Source organism: Homo sapiens, chromosome 3 (assembly GCF_000001405.40).
Source record: "Homo sapiens chromosome 3, GRCh38.p14 Primary Assembly".
Taxonomy (NCBI): Eukaryota; Metazoa; Chordata; class Mammalia; order Primates; family Hominidae; genus Homo; species Homo sapiens.
In genome coordinates this window covers 34,007,275-34,016,293 of record NC_000003.12, presented here as the reverse complement: position 1 = coordinate 34,016,293, position 9,019 = coordinate 34,007,275, and the positions used below count along the sequence as shown (strand labels likewise).

Genomic DNA, 9,019 nt, shown 5'->3' with positions numbered 1-9,019 from the left:
TTGGGTAGTCACGACAGAGACCATATGGACTGCAAAGCCTAAAATATTTACTATCTGGCCCTTTCCAGGAAAAATGTGTTGACTCCTGATTTAGGGAATGGCTGGCTAAAGCTATGATATGACCAGGAAGTCTGTAACTTTGGAGCTGGATCCTGGAGTACCCTTAGGCACACACTGGTATCTGAACTCACAGCTGGTGAGTGGACAAGCTGAGACTCAAACCCATGTCCTTGGGATTCCAAGTCTGTAAACCAAATGAATATAAACTACCTTTCAGCAGGAAAACACTGAGTTCAAATGACTGCTACCAACCTAGGCTTGCATTCCAGGCCTTCCTCCTGGGCAGAGCCACAGGGTGTCATCCTGTCTAAAGAGTTTGCTCTTAGAACCCCCTTGAACCACCTCCTAGCTTCCCAGTCAATGAAGCCTCTTTGGGGACGGGAATGGAATTCAAATATGTTACAATAATTTCACAAGATAAACCACAACCAAGACAGTTGGCCACTTATTGATGTATTGCTTTGAAGCTCCAAACTCACCCTTCAATGCCTGCTCTGCCATAATGAACTGGACTCGCAGCATTTCTCCTTTATGGTAAGCACAATGTCAAGGTTTGTCAGTAGAGGGCGATGGCAGGACATTGCAGAAGGAAGGGGCTTCTCTTTTTGATTCCGCTTGCTGTTTTGCTTTTTCTAGCTTCAGCTGCATGTTCTGTCAGCAGAACATGTGGATGGGGACATTGTCCGGGGGTGCTCTGCCCCAGCTGCGCACCCAAAGCAGGCTTCTCCAGAAATCTTGCAGCCTTGGCCCAGGCTCAGTAACCACTTTGCTGCAGCCCTCCAGTCAGTCACTGCATAGTCTGGGCCTTGTTCCTGTAGTGGCATCCCCACGAAGCCCTGCTGCACACCTCCCAACCTCAGCTTACCTGTGCCGCCTAAGGTTGTTGCTGTTTGCCCAGTTATGTAGACTAGCTCTGGCCACTGCAACCAAGCAAACGTCATTATCCAGGACCCTGCAATTGAAGATCTTCTTCTATGAGATCTGAATACTAACCTTCACACTTGTCTTTCCCTGGGTATGTTTTGGTGTTCTTTTTCCATCTTTGGATACACTATCTTATCATAGCTTAATAATTCTTTATATTAAATTTCCCCAGTATTGAAGTCACTGAATACAGTGATTGAAGGCAGACTAATTCAGTGAGGAAAGTCAGCCAGTGACAGGGATGTGCTGCTGCTCTCCTGAAATCACTCTAAGAGACCAAATGTTTACATATTTGAATGCCCCTCAGAATGGGCAGATATGTGCTATTAAAATCCATTTGTTGATGAATGAATGAATGAACACATAAACAAACTCAACTATAGCCGAGAAATAAATTGTAATAAGGGATTAAATGGGCAACCTATAAAAAATAGGATGGTCTGACACAGAAACTCAGGAAGTTTTCTTGATACCACAGAACACTCTACACAATATCTCAAGCCTGTTTCTAAAAATCTATGTTTTCTCTAAGTGTATATAATCTACGCCTGTCCCTATTAGAATGTCTATTTCAATCCTCTTCAAATTCTGCTCCTTTATGTCACCATAGCAACCCACATCCCTTAATAAACAATCAAGAGATTTTATTAAGAGAATTATACATGGAAAGCTTGATTTTTTTCTAATATTCTTATGTTTCCATTATGAAAATCTGGCATTTCATAATGTACACCTCCACAAATTAGGCCATCCAAAAGTCCACTGTTTGGGTGCTGGAATATACAGCTTCAATCCAATTGCTACTTCCCCCAACATCCAGCAACTATACCTCGAAAGTCTCAAATACATGAATGCGGCACAGCAAATAAGGAAAATGTGCCCTTGCCACACGCTCATTATAATCCCCAGAGGCCATTATCATAAAAGCCTCCTTCCAGGTTTTAGATAGAGAAGTGTGATGTCAAGTGAGAGCAAACGCCTCTGCCATGCATAGAGCTGGCGTCAGCTAACCAGCCAAATTTCCCATATGTGTAAAATTTTCACATTGATAACAAGTATTTTAATTTTCTCTCCTTGAAATAAAGAAAACTGGTATTTGTTAGGCTCTTACTTGATCATAGGCAATGTGCTTGGTGTTTTACATGATTACTTCTAATCCTCAAATAGTTCTTCAAGATGCTAGATAGTATTATCCCCATCTTATCCGTGGTAAAACAGAGACTCAGAGAGATTACATGGATTAAAACTCTCCTGTTGAATGACAAATCCAGACAGTTCTGAAAGTTTGTTTTGTCTCCCATTTTTAGTGACTTAGCAAACAGCAAGGTCAACAGGTCTGAGTTATCTCAACAAAAGTGTAGGTGGATAACAACCCAATTGCTGGGCTCCAAGGCTCCTTCTTCCTGAGGATACCAAGAAGCCTCCATTGCTGTGTAGCTGCATAGATATTCTTCCTGCCCCAAACCTATAAATACAAGGAGCCTGATGGAGGTGGATCTCCTCTTTTCTGGAAATTTGGTCACAGGGCTGCACATCCCTAGACCTGGCCCAAACTATAGGAATATGAGAGTTCAGAGAATTGCTTGTACTCTGCTACTTAAGAATTTTCCCCCAATAAACGCTATTTTATTTCTGCACCAGTGGTGTTAGTAGTGTGTGATAATGACATCTTTTCTTAATATTTCCTGAGCTCCTAGGATTGGAACACAGATTTTCTGACCTTTAAGCTCATCTTCCTTCCACAATGCTGTGTGTGTGTGTGTGTGTGTGTGTGTGTGTGTGTGTGTGTGTTTGCAATCCCTACCACTTGCATCTCTTTGTTCTAAATAAGCCAAGCGATGGCATCCTTCAAGCCTTCCACTCAATTACGGGTTGGAAACAGGATAGAAGGGGACAACTGTATCCATTGTTTTTACTGCTGCCCTTGAGGGCTCTCTCTTGCAAGTTTTCTGTCTTCGTTCTGCAATCCATTCCTTGACTAGTATTTTTATTAATGCATTCTACCATTAAAATCTATTTTAATGGGCAAAATATTTACACAGATACTTCACAGAAATAAAAGATATATAAATGGTCAATAAGCATAAGTACAAGTGCTCAGCATCAATATTCATCAGAAAAATGAAAGTTAAATTGAGATACTAGTAGACACCCTCAAGAAGGGCTAAGATTTTAAAAGACTGAAAACATTAAGTGTTAGAAAGAACTATTTGATGGTTTCTGATAAAGTCGAACATACACCAGCCTATTCTATGACTTAGCAATCCTATTTCTAGGTATTTACTCAAAAGAAATGAAAACATATGTCTACAAAATATGTATACAAGAATAGGTACAGCAGCTTTATTCATAATAGCCAAAGTTTGAAAACAAACCAGGTATCCATTGACAGGAGAATGAATAAACAAATTTTGGTCTAGTCATACAATGGGATAATACTCAGCAATAAAAAGGAACAAATCACTGATATCCACAACACCACATATAAATGTCACAGGTATTTTTCTGAGCAAAAGAGCCAGATACAAAAGAGTATGTGCCATTTGACTTCTACATGAAATTCTAGAACTGAGGAAACTGATCCATGGCATCACAAGTCAGAACAGCAGTTACCTTGAAGGGTTATTGATCGGGAAGGTGCACAAGGGAATCTTCTGGGGTGGTGAAAATGTTCCATGTTGTCATATGCATGGTGCTGACTTAGAGTATACATTTGTAAAATTTCATCAAGCTGGACACTTAACACATTTTACTTTAAAAATTATACTTCAATAAAAAATAAAAAACAATAACATATAAGTAAACATGCAAGTGTAAATTACGGGAAAGTTTATGAAGAGCAGGTAATAAAAGAAAGCCCAGAGCAAGAGATGAGACAGGAGCCTAGGTCTTCTGAAACACTCTTTCTCCCTGTAGGCCACGCTTCCTCTGCAACAGAAAGTAGTGCTTTCTCACCACACAAAGCAAGGCAAACTTTTTCCCCTAATGGAGTCCAGAGTCCCTGCTCAGCAAGCTATGTGGAATTTGGGGTGTTTGTTTGGACAGTGAATCATAGCTCATGGGGATGAGAGTCCTTCAGCAGCTCAGGATTTAAATAATGATGTGTCAACATCTGCCTCCGATGACTCAGATTTAATCTTAACAGTGACCCTGTAAGCTTGCAGGATTATTAGAGCCAGCCACACAGACACAAAGAATATTAAAGTTGTTTGTCAAAAACCTCTCTGCTTCTGTCAAGAAAAACTTCCAGAAAAGAGGAATACACATGCTCAAAACAGAAGAACCTCCAACTGGAAATGGAAGGAATAAGGTGCCATTTATGCCTACTTTGCCAAGAATGATGAGTTGGAAGGAGTAAACTTCTGGTGTTTGCAGCTTTAAAGGAACTCCAAATTTCTTATGTTGTTTAAGGAGTCATCATATTGCAATGCTTTCAGATTAAAATTGTATGCCTCTTGGATACTTTCTTATCTTCTTTACCTTATGCTGAAGTCAAAAATTCTAAGTGATTGCCCCAAATCTTACTGGACTTGGTGACTAGGAATCTGACTTCTTGTCCTGGTTCTGTCATTACTAGTATAGCCACATCAGCTTCTCTGAGTCTCAGTTTTCTCATCTGTGAAATAGAAGTATTAAGAGTTTGCTATTAAAGAAGTAGTCTAGAAATTACAGACAGGCCTGGCACATGCACTAAGTACTCAGCACTCCTGAGCTGTAGCTGAAGCCTCCACACTATGCAGTCCCACGCAGGCTTTGCCCTGTCCCATCTCAAAAGTAGACCCAGAATGTATCAAACACAAATGCCAAAGGGAACTAGCCTCACCAGGGATGTGGAACTGACCAGCAGGTGTCTCACAGAGCTTCAGTGGGTTCTTTTGATTGACAACATATGCCTGACAGCATACTTAGGACCAAACAATGCTACAAAGCACTTTCAATGGACTGGCTCATTGTGGCCTCCCCGCATCTTTAGGAGGCCTTATAAGGCCCTATAATAGATTTAAAAGCTGAATGAAGTTCAAAGTGTTATGTGAACACACAGCTAAAAGATGACTGAGTCAAGGTTTGAACACCAGACCTCCTGGGCTGGAAAAGTCTGTGGCTTTTCGCAATTCAATACAATTAGCAAGTCCTTGGGAAAAAGATATACAAAACCCAGAAGAGGAAAAAAGTAACTATTTCGTTTTCTATTGCTGGGTAACCAAGTAGCCTCAAAACTTAGTGTGTTCACACAACATTTATTTTATTTTTCCACAATTCAGTGGGTTGGGATTTCCAGATTTCAACTGGGAATCTGGGAAGCCAGGGCTGGAAAATCCACTTCCAAGATGGCTTCTTCACTCATGTTTAGTATACCTTTTTGCTCCTTGGCCTTTCTTTCCCTCCACATGGCATATCATCTGGTGGTCTCAGGATAGTCATACTTCTTTCTTATATGGCAGCTGGCTCCAAGAGGCAGGAAGCAGAAATTACCAGGCTGGCTAAGGGCTACACCCCAGAACTGGCACAGGGTCACTGTGCTATTGGTCAAAGCAGTCTGGAGTCAACTCAGCGTCAAGGAGATGAAGAAAATTATCTCTTGAGAAAGGCATGGCAAGGTCATATTGAAGATGCACACGTGAAGGCCGGGCACGGTGGCTCACGCCTGTAATCCCAGCACTTTGGGAGGCCGAGGCAGGCGGATCACAAGGTCAGGAGATCAAGACCATCCTGGCTAACATGGTGAAACCCCATCTCTACTAAAAATACAAAAAATTAGCCGGGCATGGTGGCGGGCACCTGTGGTCCCAGCTACTCAGGAGGCTGAGGCAGGAGAATGGCATGAACCCGGGAGGGAGCTTGCAGTGAGCCAAGATCACGCCACTGCACTCCAGCCTGGGCGACAGAGCAAGACTCTGTCTCAAAAAAAAAGAAAAAAGGATGATGCACACGTGAGATGGAGGATGCTATTGTGGCCATTTTTGGAAAAACTAATCTGCCACAAATCCCCTAAGGGTTCTGTATTTGCAAAAGTGAGAACCAAGGACCACATTACTGCTATAACCCAATAACAGCAATAAATTCAGTGCTTTACTGATTATAAAATACTTTTTATGAGGCATGTGTCATTAAATGCTCATAAAACCCTGTGACATCAGCATTATTTATAGGGGAAGAGAGAAGAAGTGGTTTGTCTAAAAACCTGTAGACAGAAAGTAGTCAGTGTCTTTGGGGCTTCTATGCTTGCTCTGTCTGGTGTGATAACACTGTGAGGGGTAGACATGAGAATGAGGTCTTAGAGGCCTTCTATTTCTTACTACAGGGTGTTTGGGAAGAGAGCTGGGTGTTCGCCTCTTGTATTTAAATCATTTTGCTACAGAAATATTATTGTAAAACCAATCATGTATATGGCTCTTTCTACCTTACCTCTGCCATAAAATGTCAGAACCCTGTCCCAGCAGGTATAGGGCTTAGGTTTCTAGGTTAGGACTGGAGCCACTGGGAATATAATAAAACCACTTCAATCAATGAGAATAAGAGTCCCAACTGAGGCTGCAATTCACTATTTGCACCGCTGGTTTTGGTTTTCCCACAACACAGTTTTGAAGGGCCTCACTAATCCCTTGAGTCTTCTTTGTGATAAGGAAGAATGACCAGAACGGGAGTAAGACATTAACTTGAGATTTTATGTTCCCTTCCAGGAAGCCACCCCCTCTTGAGTGCATTTCCATAGCTCCAGGATGAACATATTCATGAAACTTGAGCCAATGAAGGAAAGATACCCATGTGGATTGGACCAATATGCAAACTTCAAACTGTGTCATTATATTTTTATTTTATGAACCTCCTTGCTTAACATCTCATCCCACCCAGATTATAACCTGCACAAAAGCAAAGGGAATTTGTTGTTCTCTCTTGTTCATCCCTGCATTCCTTATACCTAGAACAGAGATAAGCAAATATTAGGTATTCTATGAATGTTTATTGAACAAATAAATGAATGCAATGACTCAGCTCCTACCATATCTATGCTAGATGGATATGAACTATATTTGTCTTATGTATTGCTGTATCCCAGCTGGTGCATAGTAGATGCTCAATAAATGTCTGATGAATGAATAAGGAAAGGAGGAAGGGAGAGAGAGAAAGAGGGAGGGAATAATGAAGGAAAGAAGAAGGAAGGAAGGAAGGGAGGGAGGGAGGGAGGGAGGGAGGGAGGGAGGGAGGGAGGGAGGGAGGGAGGGAGGGAGGGAAAGAAAAAGGATCTTGGACTAAGAAGCAAGTGTTGCCCCCACCTGTGCAGTGATAAGGTTTTGCTGAAGTCATGTACTCTCCTTCTTGAATTTCCCAGGTTTTTAGAAGCCCAGCAGCCACCCTCACTCTGAACAAGCTGCCTATTTGTTATGCTGAGTAAAAGCATGATCACAGCAACAAAGAAATATCATTACAGAGAATTTAGTCTCATTTGCAAAATTTTGCAGCAAGGACAAATATAACCAATGAAACAATTTGAAGCAGAAGTTTGTGAGTTTCAAATAAAATGTGGTTTTAAGAAAAAGCCATGAAACAATTAGACTTTAATCACTACATCTCTGCCTCTCTGTTCCTCCCCAGAGTTTCATCTTATTCCTCTCTCTCCTCTGCCCTCCTCAATGCTTACTCCAACCCCCAACAAGTCCAGTGAACCCTGAGGATTTTTCCCCTCATAATCCATCTCAGAGCTGTCTCTCCTTGCCATTTCTATAGAATCACTGCAGCCCATCCATGTTACGCACCTCCCACCTTTGCTAGCTGCCTCCTGGGGGAAGATGCAATGATCTAGTTAAAGCTTCCTGCTGTGCTTAACACAGGACAGGGCATTCTGTGCAATGAAGCCTGTTCTAAGTGAGTCACCATTCCCCTGAGACCCTCCCCCAGGTCTGAGAAAGCTGATGCTGACTGAGCTCTGAGCAGCTAGCTCATCCCCCTTCCTACACAGAGGTAAAGCCACCAAGCCAACAGACAGTGGGTATTCACTGGCAGGGTGCTAAGTGATCAGGGTGGATAGGCCCATGTGAAGCAGCCCAGTGAGGGACACTACCCAGCACTTGGAGAGCTTCTGGTAGGCTTGCAATTCTAGATATTGAACATCTGTCTTGGTGAGTACATTTTACATCTACTCAAGTCATTCTCCAAGTTTCAGAGGTAGAAAGAAGCCAGGTGAGCAATGCTATGTGTCTTTACTAGCTTAGGCCAAAAACCATTAGAGTTCCTGTCATCAATGCCCAGGCTGGTGCTTCCCGAGGAGGCTAGGAAGTCATTCCTGATGAAGGCAGTTGCTGGTAGACTCACACTCAAACTGGGGCCTAAAATGTCTGAGGGGAAGCAACAGCAGAATGGACCCAACTGGCCTAGTCATTCACCCATACACACAGTTATTGAGGTCTACTCAGTCCTAGAGCATACAGAAGGCCCTAGACACACAACGAGGAACAAGAAAGTCTAGATCATGTCTTCATAGTCTAGGGCAGGGAGTACAAAAATAAACATACAAATTGGGCACAGGAATCCCAGGAGAAACCAGCAGGGCCACCTGCCTTGATGTTAGGAGGTCAGGAAACCTTCCTGGAGTGAGAAACATGCCGATCTACCTGGTTTGGAAATTGACCACTGCTCCCCATGTAACAGAAGAATTTATGGGGTAAAGACTGAGGTCCAACTGTGCACCCTGGAGCCAGGAGTTACTTTACAAGCACGTGCTCTGCTCTCCTAAGACATGGTGGCAGGCCAATGCAGGGACACAGAACAAAGCGTTGACCCCAGCTCTGCCACTCACTGGCTTTGTGGTCCTGGGCAAGTCATTTCAGCTCTCTTGGTCTCCTTTACCCCATTTGTTCAACCTGGGGCATTGCAGCATGAGCCCTGCAGGTCTCCCCTGCCACAGAATTCAGGCATCCTAGGACCATTGCCAACTACCAAAATGAGGCTGGCTTTTTCACAGCTGAGTCTCCCTGCCCCCAGATCACAGGTTGTAGCTGCTCTGGAGAGGAAGAAAGTCATTCTCACCTTCCTTTCC

At 42.8% G+C, this 9,019-nt stretch overlaps 2 annotated features.

The window, feature by feature from the left end:
• Window positions 2,183–2,477: a silencer, noted in NCBI's record as "tiled region #2911; HepG2 Repressive DNase matched - State 7:EnhWF". NCBI's record gives its function as "represses a minimal TATA promoter and a strong SV40 promoter by Sharpr-MPRA in HepG2 cells {active_cell/tissue: HepG2}" and the evidence as "EXISTENCE:reporter gene assay evidence [ECO:0000049][PMID:27701403]".
• Window positions 4,003–4,297: an enhancer, noted in NCBI's record as "tiled region #5398; HepG2 Activating non-DNase unmatched - State 5:Enh". NCBI's record gives its function as "activates a minimal TATA promoter and a strong SV40 promoter by Sharpr-MPRA in HepG2 cells {active_cell/tissue: HepG2}" and the evidence as "EXISTENCE:reporter gene assay evidence [ECO:0000049][PMID:27701403]".